The sequence below is a fragment of the Homo sapiens genome, chromosome X (genome assembly GCF_000001405.40).
Source record: "Homo sapiens chromosome X, GRCh38.p14 Primary Assembly".
Classification (NCBI taxonomy): Eukaryota; Metazoa; Chordata; class Mammalia; order Primates; family Hominidae; genus Homo; species Homo sapiens.
This window is the reverse complement of record NC_000023.11, coordinates 37,936,168-37,957,541: the sequence shown is the minus strand read 5'-3', so window position 1 is coordinate 37,957,541 and position 21,374 is coordinate 37,936,168. Positions and strand designations below refer to the sequence as shown.

Sequence of the window (21,374 nt, the reverse complement as noted above, 5' to 3'; positions counted from 1 at the left end):
GAAAGAGTCCTCTCAGTAAATGATGCTGGGAAGATTGGACATTCACTTGCAAAAGTATGAAATTCTACCCATGCCATACACCACACACAAAAATTCACTAAAAATGAGTTAAAGACTTAAGTGTAAGACCTGAACTTTAAAACTCTTAGCAGAAAACACAGCAGGGAAAGCTTCATAATGTTGGTTCTTGGCAATGATTTCTTGGCTGTAGCCTCAAAAGCACAGGCAACAAAAGCAAAAAATAGACAAAGGGGACTATATCAAACCAAAAAGCTTCTACACAGAAAAGGAAACAACAGATAAAAGGCAACCTACAGAATGAGAAAAAAAATTGCGAACTATATATCTGATAAGGGGCGAATATACAAATATATAAAGGTTTCCTACAGCTCAGTAGCAGAAAAACAACCAAATTTAAAAAGTGAGCAAAAACTGTGAATCGACGTTTCTCCCAACAAGACATACGAATGGCCATGAGGCATATAAAAAGATGTTCAGCATCACTAATAATCAGGGAAATGTAAATCAAAACCACAATGAGATATCACCTCATACCTCTTAGAATGGCTAAGATAAAAAGGAAAGATATCAAGTGTTGGTGAAGATGTGATGAAATTGCAACCCTGGTACAGTGTTAGTGGGACTGTAGAATGGTGGATCTGCTATAAAAAACAATACGGAGGTTCCTCAGAAAATTTAAAATAGAATTACCAAATGATCCAGCAATCCCACTTCTGGGTATTTACTGGTATTAAATAGAAATATGGATCCCGAAGGCATATCTGCGCTCCCATGCTCATAGCAGCATTATTCACAATAGCCATGATATGTAAACAACCTAAATGTCCAACTAGAGATAAATAGATAAAAAATACGGTATATAAATACAATTGAATATTATTCATTATTAAAAAATCATGAAATCCTGCCACATGAGATAACATAGATGAACTTTGTGGACGTTATGCTAAGTGGAATAAGCCAGTTATAGAAGAACAAATAATGCATTATTTTACTTATATAAAGTATCTGAAATAGTGAAATCACAGAAGCAGAAATTAGAGTGGCAGTTGCCAGGGACTGGCAGGGGGAAATGGGCACTTGCTATTCAATCGGTACAAAGTTTCACTTATGCAAGATGATTAAGTTCTAGAAATCTGCTGTACAACGTTGTGCCTATAGTAAATAACACTTCATTGTACATTTAAAAATTTGTAGAGAGGGTAGATCTCATGTTAAATGTTCTCACCAAAATAAAAATGAACTAAATTAATTATCTAATTAATTAAATGACTTGATTTAAGTACAGATTTTTCAGTAAAGTGCCCCAAATTACACTGAGCATAGACAAGAACCAGCAACTAGGCAAAGTGAAGTACAAGTATAGATGTAGAATTCTAAAATCTCTGGCCACAATAGTTTCTGCTTTTGCATCTTAAACTGAGACTATATGCTAAATAATTGTTTAGCTTGGAATTGCAAGATTAGTCCATGTAGTTACATTTTGTATCTTTCCCACACAGTTCAACCAGTAGAGTTGGCTTAGGAGAATCAATACAGTATGGATGTTTGTATATGGGTGTGTTCAATTTCAACTTGGTCCACCATGGAAAACAGGCCATAAGTAAATGACTAAGGTCTGCATTTGTCTCCTGTTCCTCTCATGATCACTTTGTGGTGATGCCTAAGAAGCCCCAGATGATACAAATGCTCAGGTTGGAAGCTTGGGACTCAGTCTAGAAGTAGGAGTGAAGGAGTCCTTACCAAAGCCCAACATGGAACTTGAATCCTGAGGTAGGAAATAGCTATTGAGCCAATTCACAGAGTCCTTTAGGGAAAGATAATCATAAATTTAATTACTTAAAACCTAGAACTTTCTTTACATTTCCCGGCCAGTGTATTGCTACATAAGGGTGAGTCTCAACTAAAAAGATGTGAGCATTTTCCCCAGTCAGAAAAGGCTGTCGTCTCTTAACCTTAAGAACAAAAATAAGTAAAAAATGTTCATCTAATTATATGTTTCTAGCATAACACAATACAGACGATGTTGGCAGATAATTCCAGTCTTTTACCTCACTCATTTTGCAAACACAGTAAAACAAAGTAAATAGTTTGAGTCATCATCTTTGGACTCTTAAAATCTATTACATAAATTGAAAGAAGCATAAATAATTTAGATATTTTTAAACAAACTTACATATAATAGGCAACCAATTTAAACCATTCCTCTAAGTTCCCTGGAAAGAGACCAATGTGTAATCATCAGTTTTTAAATAATCCATGCTGTGGTACCAAATGAATATAAATGTAATGTTAAAAAAATTGATCAATAAATTATAATCTCATTTATTATTTATAAAACACTTTTTGCCACATCCTCTCTGATTTTTTTATAACCACATTGTGAGGTATACAAGAAGGGACCATAACCCTAATTTTACAGATATGAGAAAACTCATTTGCCCTGGATCTCGTATCTCGTTAGTGGTAAAAAGATCCAGTGTTCTTTACAGTATGCTGCAAAATATTTCCTGCTATTGATAAGACTTTGTTGCAATGACCTCTAAGAATTTTGGTATCATTAAATAAAAGTTATATAAAAGTTGTTCTATTTTTGATAATATTTTTTCTTCATATGGCATACTGGAATTGAAACTTAGAGACCTGAAATTATGTTCTGATTATGTTAACTCACCATAGCTTCATAGTGACACCAAAAGAGCTTTGCACACGATGTTGCTATATGTCCATTTGTGCGTGTATGTGTGTGCGTACGTGTGTGGTGAAAGATGGGGAGGAAAGTTATAACTATCAGAAATATAATACAACATAAAACACAATTAAATCAGTTTTGCAAATTGTGAAACATCTGTTATGTTTTGATTTACTCCAGCATGGTCCAAGAGTTATAAACTTCTCATCACAACAGAAATTGAAAGCAAAGGTCAATTAGAAATGTTATTTCATAGAGAGGTCTACCATTACCATGTCAGAATGCCAGAAATAAGTAAAGTTCCCTTCTTGTTCTTGCTTACTTATCTTTAAGACCTTGTATTTGCCTCTAAAGCTGTATGTTTCCTTGAGGAGAGCATCTTGTCCCCATTTACGTGAACTCATCAAAGCACCAACCCTAGATCAATTTACCTTCTTCATGCCCATATCCAGGACAGCTAGAGAAAAATCACACAGCCCTACAGACTGGGTGAGAAGACAAACTCGTGGTCCACAAATCAGCTAAGCCTAATCACCTGTGAATTCTTTTCCTTACCTTCAGTCAGTTCCTGAAGCCAGTGCCCTCAATGACTTTTCAATGCTCTTCTGAAATTACTCAGGCCCTGATGCCCTCCCTCTTAGCCTTGGCTCTCTCAATATACTGCCCTTCCATTAACTTACTGATGTCCACACTTAGCTGTACCTCATCATAGGTTCAGAGGACTAGATGTTCTTTTCCCTTTTCAAATCTACATTCTTTCATTTTTTTGTCCTAAATCTCATCTCCTCAGACTTGCTCCATGATCTTGTTCCAACAAGCATTCTCTTTTTTTCTTTAACTTGAATATCTCAAGTTTCACTGATTCCTTTATCTCAGCCTATAAACAAATCTAAAATACATACGCATTGCCCTTCATGTAGTCTACTGTATAGTTTGTCTCTTCTTCATATTTATTATAATAAATTTATTAAAATGCTTATCTGTACTTGCTGCATCCAAACCACCTCTCAGTCACTTCTCAAGTTGCTGTAATCTGACTTTTACCCCCACTGCTCTCCTGCATCTTCACTAATGTGGGGGTCCCCAACTCTCTAGCCATGGTGATTAGTAGAGGGATGGGCATGTGACTTATACCTGACCAATTAGAGTCTTCCCTCAGGTTTATTTTGTATTTTGAGATAACAAGGAAAAAACTCCTTTTTTTTTCTGGTTTTGGAGCTAATAGAATATGAATCTGGAACTGCCTAAGATCATGACTCTAGCCTCAAAGAGTCACTCAGCTTAAAAACAAAACAAAACAAAAAAACAGAGAGTCTGAGGGAAAAAAAGATGGTGTTAAAATTTCTAACTTTAGTCATACTCAAAGCCAGCTCTGACCCTGAGTGTTCTCATATGATTATTTTGTCCATTAAATTCTACTCTTTGGCTTAAATCAAATTCTTATTTGTTGACTTTTCCTTCTCAAGTTCCTCATCTGTCATCTACTCCAGCAACATCTTCTCATTCTATTATATTCATTTCATCCTGCATATGCTTCCTTTGATGATTTCAACCAGACTCATGCTTTCAAACTTTAAACTATGAATGATAACTCCCAAGTCTATATCACCAGACCAGTTCTCTCCACTGAATTTCATACTCAAATATCAACATTATACTAAATAATTTCACTTTTTTAAATTAATTTATTTATTTTTTAGACAGAGTCTTTCTCTGATGCTCAATAACTTCACTTTGATTACCCAAAGGCAACTCGCTCCAGAGTGAATATAAACTCGTTTTCCTGAGATCAGTCCCAAGACATGTTTACCCTGGTGGTTCTGGCGTAATTATTAATAGCACTCTTTCACGTTCTCTGAAGTGCCCTGGTTTTGACGATAAAATTCTTTGTCACTCTCTCTCAGACTCAATGTTTCCTACACTGAACCCACTATCCTTCTTTCCATATCTCAGTCAGTCAAATTGGAAGCCTAGAGTCATCCTTGACTCTTTCCCCTAAATCTGTCCTCCATGTTATAACAATGTCCAGGCCTTGAATACTTCTTGAATCTATCATTTTCTCTCTTTTCCAGCTGCCACTGCTCTGGACTTTTACCATCTTTGAAATAGCCTCTTAACCTCCAGTCTTCTTCCCCTCAAATCTATCACTCACAATAACAATAAGGGTGTTGAATTATTGGCCCAAATTCTTCATCCCTCCTAGTGTCCATCCTCTTAGTGTCCTCTCCAGAAAGCAATCCCTGGCCCTCTCCTTACCCCAGTTACCTTTGCTAATGACATTGAAGTTCCTTCCACTAGAGATGGAGTATACTTCCCTACCCTTTGACTTTGGGCTTATCCACGTGATTTGCTTCGGTCAGTATAACCACAGGTGTAACTCAAGTAGGAGTTTGGCAACTTCAGTTCTTGTGCTTTTGACCTTGTCATGGAAAGAACATTTCTTGGCTAGCCCATAAGTCTAATAAAGACAAGAGTAAGGTCAGCAAAAATTGGACCCTGTCTACCATCTGGAGCTAAGTGCAGACAAACCCAGGGCTAGACAAACCCAAGTGCAGAAGAGTTAACTCTCAATCAAGTAGCAGAAGCGTGAAGAAGAATAAATTATTGTTGTTTTAAGCCAGTTAATTTTCCTGTACTTTTTAATGGAACAATAGCTTATTGACATAACTCCCCTCTCTATTTTAGTTAGTAATACTGAATTCACCCAAAAGAGAAGCCTAAAGATATCCTTGATTTTCCCTCCTCACCCTGACCTTTACATTCCAACAATTCCTAGATCTTACAAATCTATATTCCAAACATTTCTTGAATTCAGAGCCCCCTCTGTATTTCTTTTGCCACTGCTCTGATTCAAACCCTCATATCTTTGATCCTGGATTACTGCAATAGATTTGCCTGGTCTCCTTGTGTCTAGCCCATCCTCCTCAAGAATATGATCCATGTATCCACCAAAGGACCTTTCTCTAAGGAAATTTGACCATTTCTCCCCATTGTATTCCTTCTCCACTTTGTTAAAACTTCTTTAATGGGTTTCCACCATCCACAGAATAAAGTCTAACTTCCAAGCAAGACCCTCAAGGTCTGGCCCTAGCTAACTCTTTAGACTCATCCCTCACCACTCCTGCCTTACAATTTTTACTACAGCAACACTGCTTGTAGTTCCTCAAAACCTCTCCAGAAAGCAATCCCTGGGCCTCTCCTTAACCCAGTTTATGGTTTTCTCCTCCTTGCTCCTCACAATTTGCTGTACATATTTATATGTACTTACCACAGTATAATGACCTATCAGTCTATCTCTCCTACTGTCTTTTTGAGGTGAGACTGTCTTACTCATGCTTTAATTGGAATCCGCCACCCTAGGGCAGAACCTGACACATACGGCATGCTTAGTAAATACTTAGTGAGTAAATGAATGAATGACTGATTTTTTTAAAAAAACTCATAAAACATATTTATACCGTTTATTAAAATGCTTTTGATATTTTCTGTTCCTAATCCCAAATAATATATTTTTCTTGCTATTAATACATGTGATTCAAAAAATCACCATTGAAATCAATTCACTTATTTACCGAGGATCTTTTAACAAATCTAATGTTAGTAATATGAAAGCAAGATAATGGAGTTTAGCATTTATTTCCACATAGAAACAGATATTTAGTAAGAATTTAATAGAACAGGGCTTCTTAGTCAGATGGCACTTTTCTTTGGTATATAATAGTGAACTAAACTTTGAAAAAAAAATTCTTTTACTTTATGGATCCATAACTTTTTTTTTTTTATTCCTCGTAAGTCTTTCTGCCCTTCAGATCAGATCAATTTACACATATTCCAATTTCTTCCATGATTATTGTTCTACTCAGGCTCTTCAGTCAATTTCGGTAATTGCTATAAAAGTAAAATTGTATTACATGTTGGATGGATAACACCCATCATGTGCTGCACTGATTAACAATTGAAAAACTTCAGTATACCTTAAAATGAACACATATCAAGATATGTTTCCAAACATCTTTATACTTTCATAGCCTGAAAAGCTCTCAGAAAAAGAACTTATTTAATTTGGTCAAAAATCAATATTTGGTGTATTTTCAATTACTGTCTTTTATAATAAAACTGTTAATGAATAATATTTTCTATAACAACCAACTGAATATACATCATACATTAAAGGTAATTTCAACCAATATTAAAGCCACCAAAAAAGCAATACGCTGGTTTGAGTTTCTTAAATAGGAAAGCATTGCATACTTCTCGGTTATAAACAGAATTCCAAGTACAGGTTCTGAAGACTGAAAGCATATATCAAACCTTCGGAAAAGTAAAAGTAAATAAAGATATATCCTGCTTTACAGTTATTATTTCTGAAAGGTAGTAATTCACATATAAGTTATCAAATGGTATTTGAAAATCTTCCTACCTAAAACAGCTCTTCTGAAAATACTTTCAGCAAATAATTATTTCATAAAATATATATGCACAATAGAGCAATATCTTTTAGATATACATTTATTAGGTTTCCTCTAAGTGAGAAATACTGTAGAGTAGAGGAACAGGTGCCAACAGAAAGGGTCCCAGAAGCATATATACCATATCTAAGAGCAAGAGGATGTTTAAATACATAATTTATATTTCCTTAAGTAGGAAAACAGGTGAAAGGCAGTGACTCAATCTATTGAGAGAAAATCTTTCAAACTTCTTGAAGTTCCAATTTGATCATGATGGCATTCCTCAAAGATTTAAATAGGTATTGATTAAAGACTTCATAAAATACGGAAAAGGGCTGGGAGCATGAATAGTCCAAAACAACAAAGGATACAAATCACTCACATTTAAAAATTTTTTGCAACAGGTATTCTTTTCTAATGATGTGTACCTTAGACCAGTCAAGAAATTGATTTCCATGTCCTAAGCATTCAAACCACTGTCTATATGACAGGAGAGATCTAGAGTGGAATTAATAATTTGTCATGGTTCACATGCAATTATAATGTTAAACAGCATATAATTACAAATTAAACACAACTTTTTTTAAATGTTGTACCCAGGGTCAACTGGGCACCCAGGTGCAACTAAAAGGGCAAAACATGTACTCTACATTTCCTTTTATTTTCCCTAACTAGTGTATATTTTCCTTTTTTGTCTTCCTTGGTGCCAAATAAGCTTCCCTCATTATGGTGAACATTATTTATTTTTTCCTTTTTTCATGTTCTACCCTCTAACCACAATCAAAATGTACCTGTTCTTCTCAGATCTTGTGAGGTGTAAGAAATTAAGCTGATTAAGGTGGAAGCACTAATGGCATGATAGCTTACTCTTTCCAGATTTAATCAATGAGGAATGCTTTGGGCAGCAAGCAATAGCAATATGAATAACAACAACAATAATAAACAAACTGCAATGATATAAACCATTGGAGGTACCTCAATGTCAGGTTGGTTTGGTGGCTCACCCATGTCATGAAGGACATAGGCTTTTTCTGCTGTTATGTTTGACCATCCTTAGCATATGGGATTTTGTTCTTTGAATGGTTGCTTCATGGTTTCAAGATGCTCTTCCTAGCTGCAAGTATCACAATAACAAAGTAGCATTTAAAGGCAGGAATTCATAGAAATTAGACTGAGACAAGCCATTTATGTACCTTGTTCCTTTTATTAGAAAGTACAAACTTTCCATGAAGCCCCATAATAACTTCCCTTATATCTCATTGGCAGGGGAGAATAGGAAAGTGAGTCTCAGGTTTTTTCAGCCTCCATGGTAGAGGTGGACAAGAGAAGAAACGGGTTGGAAATGATTTTTAGATTCCAATGTGAATGGCTACCATATCAGATAACATGACTGAAATTGAATAGGAACCTTTAGAGTTTACATACAGAAAAGAAATAGCAACAAATTGAGGCTCAGTTTGTTTTAAAATCTCTCCCCCTTAGATATCTGTATTCCTATGTTCACTGCAGCATTATTCACAATAGCGAAACTAAGTGTCTGTCAATGGATGAATTTAAAAAATGTGGTACATAAACAAAATGGAATACTATTCAGCCATAAAAAAGAAGGAAATCCTGTCATTTGTGACAATATGGAGGAACCTGGAGAACATTATGTTAAGTGACATAAGCCAGGCCTAGAAAGGCAAACATCCATGATCTCACTTATATGTGGAATCTAAAACAGTTGAACATAGAAAGTAGCTTGGTAGTTACCAGAGGCTGAGGCGGGGAGGTGGTGGCAGATGGGGAAAGTGGCAATGTATACATATATCAAATCATCAAGTTGTATACTCTAAATATATATAAAAATATATGTAAATATATAAATTCTAACCATCATCTATACTTCAATAAAGTTGCAAAAAATAATTTAAGCAAAAATTATGTAAATGATTTCATAATATAATATATAATTTTATAATAACATATAATAATATTCCTTGAAATGATATATGCTTTTTTATTTTTAAAAATAAAACATAAAACTAATGCTTAGAAAATTGATTCCAGTGATGCTTTTGGACTTTAAATTCTAGAACAACTAATATTCCTAGTAAATAAAAGCAGCTCATGTTATACCTCTTGTTGTCATTAACCTTTACTACTCTGTTATATAAGGTTCCCTGTCATTATTGTCCATTAGACTGCTTGGTAATAGGATAAACTTGGGAGGAATTATGCAGGATCTAAATGAAATAAGTGTAAGAAAATAAGAAAAAAAGTTCCTGACCATTCTGAAGCCTCCTGGAGTAGAATTTGCCCACTTAAGAAATATTCTCATACTGAAACAATGAAGCTATGAAGAAGATTTGGAACTCTGTGTATTTGGGCTTAAATTGACTGAGTCATTTGGTACTTTGGTTTTGTTTGGAAATGTATAAAAACATCAGGAAAAGAAATATGAAATGGAGTTGGGGAGGCACAGGAGAAAATGTTTTCAAATTAAGATGTTAACAAATAATCAAATAGTTCATCTTATTTAATCTCACAAAAATCCTTCAAGGTGGCTATTATTAGCCTCACTTAATGTGAGGAAACTGAATATGGAAAAAAATAACTAGCTTAGCCAAACTTACAAAGTGGGAAAATTAGGATCTACACCAAAGTCTGTCTGCCAAATCTATGCAGTTTCTATTTCTTTTACCCAACAGAGAAAGAGTGGCCAGAACACAGCGCCCAAAAAGATGTAAATCTTAGCTAAAATGATATCAGTTTTCTGATGGTGTATTAGTCCATTTTCACACTGCTATAAAGAAGTACCTGAGACTGTGTAATTTATAAAGGAAAGAGGTTTACATGACTCACAGTTCCGCATGGCTGGGGAGGCATCAGGAAACTTACAATCATGGCAGAGGGTGAAGGGGAAGCAAGGCATGTCTTACATGGTGGCAGGAGAGATAGAGAGAGCAAAGAAAGCCACATCCTTTTAAACCATCAGTTCTTGTGAGAACTCACTCAATATCACGAGAACAGCATGAGGGAAACTTCCGCCATGATCCAATCACCTCCCACCATGTCCCTCCTCCGACACGTGGGGATTACAATTTGAGGTGAGATTTTGGTAGGGACACAGAGCCAAACCATATCAGATGGAAATAGGAAATGTCTTATGATGCACAGGAATGTTCACAAAGCAATCACTGAATGAAGCTGATTGACCAGAGATTATCAAGAAAAGGGTGAGCCTTATAATATGAAGACAATCAATTTGGCCCCTCAGAAGTGAGGGAGAAATAAGGGACAGTGAATGAAAGAGGAAAGTTTAAGGAGAGGAGGAAATGAGGGAGAGAAGAAAGTGGGGCAAGAGAGAGAGTAAGGCAATGAGGTGATGAAGAGGGGACCAGTTTTGCAGGAAATACTTATTATCCATGTATTCCTACATATACGGAATCTGTGTGTAAAGTAGAAAAAGTCTCCACTAGGAAGATAATTAGAGGTTATCAATATTCCTTTTATCACTTAGCAACCAAGACACATGCTTATTTCTGCTCCCCAGAAGCAATGTTAGCTACTAGTTTCAATTCAGGAAAATGTATATCTTCAGAAAGGTTTATATGAGATATTTATTCAGCTTTTTCTCAAACTTCTTCATATTTTCACTATAAACATTAAACTGAAAGTGTGTTCGAAAAATTGTATTCCACCATGAAAATGTAGAAGCATACTTTCTGATGAAGTTTATGTGGTGTAAATCATGATGCTGAGAACCAGCATAGAAAAGGATGAGATTTAAAGGTTTGAGAGGAATATCATAACCACGATGGGCATCAATAGTTTCTATCAAATAAATTGTCACCCATGTCCAAAGAAGAATTAATTACATGGTAACACAAAAGCATGATTCCAATGAAAAATCCAGTTCCAAGAATTAGAATTTCCAAAGGATGTGCATATTCAGCTTCTATTCCAAATGGAGCTTGAAACTCATGATGAATTTTATGAATCTATTTACATATTCTTTTTGTGGTAAAAGAATCTATGCAGGCTTAGAAATAGTGCCAAGTAGTATCAAAGACTGTAGTATAGCCAAAGCACCTTACCAAAAGCATATACCATTTTGTCATTCTTTTTCAATCATAAAGAATATTGAAATACTCTGTAAAATAATAGGTTCCACACATAAAAGCAGCTGGATACAAAAGTGATTAAAGAGAAGTAATTTAAAGCACTTCCGTTGGTTTTCCTATGTCTCTGGTTTATATTTTTCAATGTTATTCTTTTTAATGCAAGGTATAAATTGAAATAGAAACCCAGGTAAAAAGAACAAGAAATAAAAGTTTTCATGAACAATAGCAGATCCCCATGTTGCAATCTAGAACATTGTATAATTATTAACATACAATTCCAAGCATTTTAAAATGGTTCTTGCAGAGGACTGTCAGGTAAAAGTGAATCTACATACTCCACAGCTACAAATGCTGAACTACAGATGCTGGCACTTTCATTTGTTGCCATTTCTCAAATCTCTGCATAGAGCCTTCTAATTCTGGATAGTCATAAGGTGACTGTAGCCATGATTTTTGATGCTTCTGATTTTGTCATTCCACCTGTTTTAGCCAACTCTCATTTACTCATGAGTAAATCATACCTAATAAATTTCTAAAACTCAAACTGACTTCTAACAACAGACTTGCTGATGCGAACTCAGGAAGTACAAATTTGTTTACTGTTAAGATTAAGTAAACATACCACAACAGGATGCAGATGGAATTTTAAGGCCCAATTTGAAGACACGCTCTAAGTTCATTGAGTCTTCAGTGAGCCACCAACAGTGGAGATCAGGTCTATTGGAAGGTGCCAGGACAGTGTCACCCTTATCATCAACCAACACCACCCTGCTTTCCCATCAAGACTGGAGAACTATGCAGAAGGTGGAAAAGTCACCAGTCTTTTGGGCGCTGTTCATGGAGACTGATTATTCCCTCCCATCCCACTGAGGAGAAAATAATTTTCTGAAATAAAATGATTATTTCCAGGAATACAAAGTAAGATGAGAGTCATGAAATCTGACTAAGATGTCATAAAGTTAGTATCAAATCTTTGGGAAAGGGGTGTTGACACAGTTGGGGGACAGTTAACAGAAAAAAATAAAACCACATCATATTTTTCTTCTTACTGAATTAAAAACCCTCAACAAACTTGCTCCATGAAAGCTGAAAAGGTAAATTCTAAAATCATATAATTCACAGTTATCTCAATTTATAATTCTTGTAAAAATAGAATTACTATACCTATATCTCTGCTTTGCTTCAGATTGTATTCTCAAGAACACAGTACAATTTATTGAAACAATAACATATATGTAAAGTTAAGAGTAGTTGCAGAATGCAAAAGCTTTGCTTTGAAATCAGTCGACCATCTATTTAATTATTAGTATAGGAAGTTGTACCAGCTTTGGAAGTTAGTTTAATTTGGGTTCCCCCAAAAGTAGACCCTGAGGCAAGGACTTGGAGGCAGATAAGTATTTATGAGGTAATCCCAGGATGCAAAAGTGAGAGATAGAGAAAGTGAGACAGAGAAAGGAAGAAAAAATCAAATGTATTCTACTTCTATAGAAAAATGAGACTCAGTCTCCTTAAGGATACTGTGAAGAACTGCACACAATGCTCTTCAAAATTATACCATCAAAGGTAGGAGTGGCTGGGGCATTATTCTACCTACTCCTACTCACCATTGGCTAAGGATTGTCTCTGGAGGTGTTAACTTACTTTCAGTTGTGCCCGCATTCATGGAATGACCCTCCATTTTTTGCCCCACTGCCCACTTGGCATGGGTGTCTGGCAAGTGCAGGGGACTCATCTCCACAAGTGAATGGAAATCAAGTTCCCAAGGGGTTGGGGCAGTTTTGTGGTATGTCACAAATTCCTGCTATAGAGGTTTAAGTGATTTCTGCCTTCTTCATGGAATCACCTGCTAATGTAATAGATTTCTTTAAGTATATTATCAATTACACAGGCATTTTAAGATAAAAAACATACTCATCAATTATTGCCAAATGTCAAATCTCAATCAAAATGCCCCCAGACTCTTTTCCCAGAAAAAAAAAAATCTTTTTCAACAGGTACATCATTTCCAAAACAGACCAGACCTGTGATAGACTTTTAAATATTAAGAATACATAGGATGGTGAGTAAGAAGATTTGGTTATAGCTTAGCCTAGGGCCATAAACAATCCATAAATAAACATGAAACGACTATGCTCCAAAATTCCTCAGCTATGTCAGGCCATGGGAAGTTCCTTTCTCAGGCTTCCACCTGAGAGGCTTCTGCTTGACATATAAGGAGCATTTATAGTAAACTGAATTTTGATAAAAAGCTCCAGAAAAGCAGGGAACAATTGTTTATGAAAATCATCTAGATTAGTGTGTTCAGAACTCTGCCGATGAGGCCATGGGAGAGAAAAAAATAAAGGGGTAGGTCTGGACTCCTCCCTTGCTTCAACAGGAGCCATGGTGAATTTTTGTTTGTTTTGTTTAGGCTTATGCTTCAGCTTGAAAGACACAGAACAAATTCTCTCGATTTACAAATGAAACACAGGCTGGGAGACATTAAGTGGCTTGTTAAAGACCACACTGCCAGACAGAAGCAGAGCTAAAACGAGGAATCTGACTTCTAAGTAACAAAGACTCCCTCCTTTAACCTAGTTCCGACCTTGGGCTCCCCTCTTTGTCCCTGTAGAATCAAGTATAAGCAAGAATGGGGCTAAGTTAGTTTACTGAAAATCCCCCACACTTTGTATAATCAAATTTCTCATCCCCCATCCTCGATATCAAATCACCCTGGCCAGCCTTCAGCAGGAGTTATGTTGAGTTGGTCTAGTAAGAGTCACCCTTACCCTGAGGTTTCCTTTTAGTAATTTTCCACCCACTGACCCTCAACCTGCTCCTTGGTTGTAAATCCCCACTTGGCCTTATTGGAGTCAGAGTTAAGCCCAGTCTCCTTCCCCCATTTCAAGACCTCATTGCAGTGGTTCCTCTACCTATAGCCAATAGTCTCCCCAAATAAAGCCTTCATTACCATCTTTAGCAAGAGTCCTTAAACATTTTCTTCTTTAACATAAGCCAGCAATGCACTTCCTAATTCACCTTAGTTTTCCTTTCCAAACCTGTGTCAATTCACAAAAATACTCTCAGCAGTAAGCCTCCCTATTGTCTTCCCTTTAACAAATGTAGTGAGAATTTAAAATGGTACTTAAAACAATACTGACTATGGTCACTTCATCCTCTCTAGGGGAATGATTCAAATCTTCTCAGAGGTAGATAGCTCTTTTGTTTAGAAAAATACTTTGATGATGGGCCTTGACTGACTTGTTCATAGAGAAATGTGAGGACCCTTGCTCAAATTTTAAATGAATGAGAGCCAAATTACACCATGAAACAGAGTAAGAGAGACTAAGGTGGCCAGAAGGGAGGCCAGCAAGAAGGGAGGAAGGGATGAAAGCAGGGGACAGAAAGAGGAAGAGGCAAAGATATAAGCAATATGGAGGCCTGAGGAGAAATTCTCTGTGATCGGGCATAGCTAAAGAACTGAGAACATGGTGGCATGATATTCTGTTGTAAGTTTGTGGTACTGGGCTGGGTTGTCACCATTTTTTCCCTTCCCTGTTATTTCCAAGATTTAGAAATCGGCCACACACAAAAGCCATATGTTAGTTTTATTTGAAAAAAGGGAGAAGTGAAGCACAGCAATGGGGAAGAGGATAGGAGAGCCCAGAACGGATAGAGAAGACCTGGAATTAAGCAGATGAGCTGGTGTTCAAGAGCTTAGCAGAGAATGGTGCTATACCATAAACCAGCCCAGGACAACGTAAGCCATCTGTGGGGAGTTCTTAGAGATAAGGGGGTGGAGGGCAAGGATAAGTGCCATTTGATTTGAACATCCTCCCACTAACTCTTCTCATCAGTCAAAGTCATTTCCTGCCCATAATGCATTGAAGAACTATGACAGAAGAATAGGACAGAGTGTGTGAAAATTGCTCCAACTTTCAGGTACTTGTCAGGAGAAGCAGCACGTAATACTTGACATGACTCATTTAAGTAGGAGATGACAGCAGGTAAAATTAACAGGAATCTGAAGTGATGTGCTATTTCCCTTAAAGAAATATATGATCACAAATGAAAAAATGCCATAAAATTCACATATGTACTTTATTTAAAATGTTGACATACAGGAAAAATGTACTAATGAAAGAATTTGTGCTTATGTTTATGAAAGACCTATTATTATAAATATTATTTGTAGAATAAAACTCATTAACTCAATTAGATTCACAAATAATACAATAGAATTTTTCTGAATTATTAGAAAATTTATACCACTAACGACTTTTAATGGTAGTTTAGGCCTACCAAAACGGTTAACCCTGACAGCAAGAAAATCAAAATCACAGTAAGGGAATGGCTAAGATAAAATATAAATGAAAAGTTTTTTTTTCCCTACAAGTTATTTCAAGTAATTGACTTCCGTGGGTAGGAGGCATAAGTAAAAATAGATTTTAGAAAATTATTCTATGAAAAGAACACGTGATCAAATCCTAAAATGCTTCAGTCCTTGATGTGGTTCAATGTCTTTAGTACAGTGGCTCTCACAGTGTAGTCCCTGGCCAGCAGGATAAGCATCACATGGGAACTTGCTGGAAATGCAAAGTCACGTCTTAGAGATACATAATTTGACAGTCAAAGAAGTTGGGGTGTTTTTATCCATCAACTTCCCATCAGTCATTGGTTAAAGGCTACTTCTGGGGACCTTATCCTAGACACAAGGAGAGCTTGCCTCTTTGACCACAGGGGAAAAAAAGCCCTCAGACAGAGAGTAATAGTAGCAGGTTTTTGCAGCAAGCAGCCTTTTGCATGTCCGGGTGAACACGGAAGGGATGGTAGGGCACCAGCAGCCTCTGCTATGGTCTCTGAACTTCATATGTTAAAGATCTAGGCTTTATTACCTCAATCATCATTATTATGTTAACGTCAATGATGAATTACAAGGTCAGAAAGGGGTAAGGGGTCTCAGGAAATACACTCCAAAATTGTAATCAGCCACTTTACATTTCTTTCTGGGATTGTCCCTGCACAAGCTGGATGTGGTGGGGAGCGGGTCCCAGATACGGCTGTGCAATGAATCCAGTAAGCATGACTTTCTGGCAGGGAATCCCTGAAGTCGATGCATTTTACTTGTCCTTATGACACTTACATTTAATAATCCAGTGATTCTAAATCTGTATTTAATTGTCATTGTAAGGCATGATATATTGTATGCCTGATTTAAAACAAACAGAAACTCCAATTGATTCAGTCAACAAATGCATCTAATTCTACCACTGATTCATAGTAACTACATAAATTGCCAGTAGGAACAGGAAAATCCCTCTACAGTAAGCCCTAGTTAGGCAACATCCTTCCCTAAAGCTTATTTCTAGAAATAGTCATGAAGAGTGAAAACAACTGCCTCCAAGAATGATTTCTTTCACTGGACTCTGTCATTTACCCTCTACTGGGTTCTAATCAGGTTTTCCAAATAAGTCTCCTGGAAATATCCCATTGCAGCATATCAGATAATTTACCCCAGAGTCAACACAAAATTTAATCAGAAGACAGTAAAATAAACACAGTGGTCATATTTATTTATTACTGACTTCCAATAAATTTTACAGGCCCAGTTCATACACCTAGATTGATTTTCATGCAAAAGATAACATCCTTGCACAAATTATATACATATATATATATATATATATACATACACACCTATCCCTAACTGAAAATACTTGTCTGTATACTAAACATGTATACCTAGTAAAAGAGAGAGAACCAATGTGGGAAACGAGATCACTGGGAACCCTTGATTTTTTTTTTTTTTTTTTAGATGGAGTCTTGCTCTGTCGCCCAGGCTGGAGTGCAGTGGCGCGATCTCGGCTCACTGCAAGTTCCGTCTCCCATGGGAACCCTTGATTTTAATGGTCACCTTGATATTAATGATCCAGTGGCTAAATCCAGCCTATAGGAGTGTTTTGTTTGTCTTGTCTATTATGTTTCATTTGTATGAAAAAGGAATAAGCATTTACATATAGGGGAATTCAAATAAAATAATCCATGTTTCTGCTTCCTCTTTCAAGAATCAGGATCAGGCAACAGTGGTCTCAGAATCTGTGTGGCAACAAAAGGCAGAGGTTGGAGAATGGCTCTCTCCTTAAGATAGGGTGGACACAGCCAGGTGAGGTGGCTCACACCTATAATCCCAGCATTTTAGGAGGCTGAGGCGGGCGGATCACCTTAGGTCAAGAGTTCGAGACCTGCCTGGCCAACATGGTGAAACCTCATCTCTACTAAAAATACAAAAAAAAATTAGCTGGGCATGGTGGCGCACGCCTGTAGTCCCAGCTATTCAAGGAGGCTGAGGCAGGAGAATCGCTTGAACCTGGCAGGCAGAGTTTGCAGCGAGCCAAGATTGCGCCACTGCACTCCAGCCTGGGCAACAGAGGGAGACTCTATCTCAAAACAAAACAAGACAAAAAGATAGGGCAGACACACCCAATTTATCATAGTTATCACCATTTCCTCATTGTCTACCTGCCTTGCCTCTAGGGGTATTGAGTTCGTAACCCATTGTAAATAGAATTTTAGACACAGTTTTGGAAATGTAGCACATCTTACCTTTTACACAGATGCCTCAGATGTAGGAAATTTTCATTTGGAATACAAGCTTCTGTATCTTGACTAATTGCATTAATGTGTATAATTGATGGCGCTCAGCCAGTGCACCTAGGATGACAATGAATAGCACATAAAATATTCTAAGATAGCCTTTCCATTTCCCATTGTAATTATTAGCAATACTCTCCAGGTCTCATCTTAAGCCAGGCCCTGCCGCTGCCCTATACAGGTCTTCCTCTAGATAATTTCTACCACAGCACCAGCACAGCAGAGGAAGGATAGAAGAATAAAGATAAAGCTAAAACATAGAAAGAAGTTAAGCCTAGGTATAAATTTGTGACTAAAACAATAATCTGCTTGTAAGGAAACTGATCTTCTTCTTGTGGAATGGGTTATCTTTCTTTTTTTTTCTTTTTTTTTCTTTTTTTTTTAGAAGGAGTTTTGCTTGTTGCCTAGGCTGGAGTGCAATGGTGCGATCTCAGCTCACCGCAACCTCTGCCTTCCAAGTTCAAGTGATTCTCCTGCCTCAGCCTCCCGAGTAGCTGAGATTACAAGCACCTGCCACCACGCCCAGCTAGTTTTTTGGGTATTTTTAGTAGAGACGTGGTTTCTCCATGTTGGTCAGTCTGGTCTCAAACTCCCGACCTCAGGTGATCTGCCTGCCTCGGCCTCCCAAAGTGCTGGGATTACAGGTGTGAGCCACCGCGCCTGACCATTTTTCAAACAATCTCAACAACTTTGTTTCAAAAATTTTTGTATTAATGCAGGCTCATTTGAATAGGTGCAGTACCTAGTAAATGAACTGTTTGAAAGTTCAACCCTTCATTTGGATGAAAGAACAATTGCCAGAAGGTCTGTCTTAGTATTTCACAGTAAGTAATCATATCTAACCTTTGAAAAATTCCAAGCTTAGCTGATAAAAGGGAAAAAGCTCAAGTGAGGGTTGTGCTCAGTCTAAAGCATTTTGGCATTACAATGGGATAGGAATACATATTTAAAACAGGGGCAAGGGAGGAGGCTGAAGAGGGAAGGAAGGAGGAAAGGAGTGAGGGGTGAGAGAGAGAAAGAGAGACAGAGAGAGAGAATATGACAAAATGACACAATGAATGGCAGAGATGGAAAATTCTTATTTTGTGGGTTAGGGATCATCCTCAGCTCTTTGTATCTTTAAGTTTCTTTTCCATTCAAACCAAAGTTTTAAAGCATGTGACTTTATGAACAACAAGGAGATATAGTATAAAGAAATGAAAAATTCAATGCAAATAAGCATTTGCTTAAGTATTTTAAAGCCAGCCACAAGTTGATTCATGTCAAGGTGCAAGGTTAGGCTGCTACTATTAGAGAGATGCAGCATCTGAGAGCAGAAAGATTTTCTACTTTAGTGGGGCTACAGAATGACTAACAATTTGATAGTTATCACCAGTGCCTGACAAAGGGTTATTTTCAATGACGGAAGATTGGACAATAAAGGACATCCATAGATAAGTTTCTCTATTCATTTTCTGAAAACTTTCCAAACCTGTACATTCAAAAATCTCCCTGGACAAGCCCTTTAAATTCTGCAGGCTCAGTGAAAATACATCTTATCATTATCTGCTGCAGTAAAAATAAAGTTGAAATTGTGCACATATATCATGTATTCATTTCTCACATATTCCCCCAATCATCTATGTAGTAATATTTTCTTAGTTCATATATCCTCCAGCCAGGATTACAGCCCAACCCCCTTCCATAATGAAACATAATGTTTTGAAGCAATAATAAAACCTGTATCACATATGCAACAATCATTAAATCCATAGACTTTCTGTCTGTGTTGGGGAAATCCCTGAATTTGCAATGCCCATCGCTTGTCATAGACATCTTCATGTTTGCTTTATATACAACATCTGTGTAGCTCACTCATGTGATCATGGGAAGAAGAAAGATAAGAATTAATGGGGATTCCACATTGGTACTCTGTTGATCCACTGTATTAGTTTGCCATGGATGTGTAACAAATTACCATAAACTAAGCAGTTTGTAAGAACACTCATTTAGTACCTCACAGTTGTGTAGGCCATAATTCTGGGTGGACGTGGCTAGATTTTCTGCTGAGTTTCACAAGATGTTGGCTGGCTGAGCTCTTTTCAAGAGGCTTTGGGGGAGAATCTGCTTCAACCTAAAGTTCATTTAAGTTGTTGGCAGACTTCATTTCTTGCAGTTGTAGGACTGAGGTCCCCCTTCCTTTTCTGACTGGCAGCTGACAGCCTCCCTCAGCTTGTAGAGGCCATCCACAGTTTTCATGTGGTCCCCTTCATCTTCAAAGCTAGGAATGGTGGTGAATCAAAGCCGCCTTGCGTTTTGAATGTCTCTGACATTCCCGTCTGCCCTCTTCTTCTGCCAGCAGTTGGAGAAAATTCTCTACTTTAAGGGCCCATGTGTTTAGATTAGGCTACTCGATACCCTGATAGCTTACCTTTACAACTGTGTTATGAAGTAACACAGCTGTAACAAGACTCAATGTATGAGTCAAGACTCAATCACAAATTTCATACCCAATTACCTTCACAGGTCCTGGGGATTGGGACCTGGAATCATGGGGAGAATTTCTAGAAAATGTACCTACCACATCTGTCAACGTACTTTTTTTTTTTTTTTTTGAGACAGTCTTGCTCTGTTGCCCAGGCTGGAGTGCAGTGGCATGATCTCGGTTCACTGCAACCTTCGCCTCCCGGGTTCAAGCAATTCTCCTGCCTCAGCCTCCCAAGTACCTGAGATTACAGTCACTTGCCACTACGCCCAGCTAATTTTTGTATTTTTTTTTTTTTAAGAGAGACAGGGTTTCTCCATGTTGGCCAGGCTGGTCTCGAACTCCCAACCTCAGGTGATCTGCTCTCCTCTGCCTCCCAAAGTGTTGGGATTACAGGCGTGAGCCACTGCACCTAGTCTGTTTTGATATATACTGTCCCCTTGTGGGAACAATTTATGAGTATGACATGGACTATATCAACTGTTGGGTGAATAACCGCATTCTAAATGTTCAATGAAGGAAGCCTCAGCTTCCTGGTTGACCATAAGAATTTGCCTCTAGAAGTCGGAGGTGAGTGAATCACCTACAGTCCTCAATAGCTGGCTATCAATACATTATATCTAGACCTCTAGGGGAAGGCAGGCTTATATATAAAAGATGAAAAGCCTAGATAAAAGGATACTTTCTTTTTAAAATTATATGAGCTGTATCATATGAACTCCTCAGCCTCCTCAGCCTCTGGATGCTAATGTGAAGTCTTAATAAATGATCTTGAGATTTGAGGGATAATCAGTCCATTAATTTCTATAACAGATATCTAAATGAGAGTTACTAGAACAAGATAATGTGAATACTAAACATAGTGTAATTTTTCTAGTGCATGTGGCAGATTATATTTTCTAAAGATGGCCACAACAATATCTCCCATCACATACGTTTTTCTGTCAATTTTTGCTTCATGTGTTTTGATGTTCTCTTCGTGGGTGCATATATGTTTATAATTTTCATAT

The 21,374-nt window shown here is 37.2% G+C and overlaps 1 protein-coding gene and 1 pseudogene across 21 annotated transcripts in view; both read right to left on the bottom strand.

Moving 5' to 3' along the window:
* The window catches only part of SYTL5 (synaptotagmin like 5), a 239,906-nt gene that overhangs the window by 171,279 nt on the left and 47,253 nt on the right, over window positions 1-21,374 (bottom strand). For 7 of the 21 annotated variants that reach the window (XM_017029972.1, XM_011544001.3, XM_047442654.1 and 4 more), the window contains 2 exons: window positions 17,853-17,960; window positions 8,137-8,275 (listed from right to left, as the gene is read on the bottom strand). The exons of 4 other annotated variants lie outside the window; for them this stretch is intronic. The gene's annotated coding sequence lies outside the window, so the exon portion shown is untranslated. The remainder of the gene's footprint in view (window positions 1-8,136; window positions 8,276-17,852; window positions 17,961-21,374) is intronic. 10 more of the 21 variants (XM_047442658.1, XM_017029974.2, XM_047442655.1 and 7 more) reach the window with 2 other exon arrangements.
* On the bottom strand, window positions 10,577-11,711 carry SC4MOP (sterol-C4-methyl oxidase pseudogene; annotated as a pseudogene).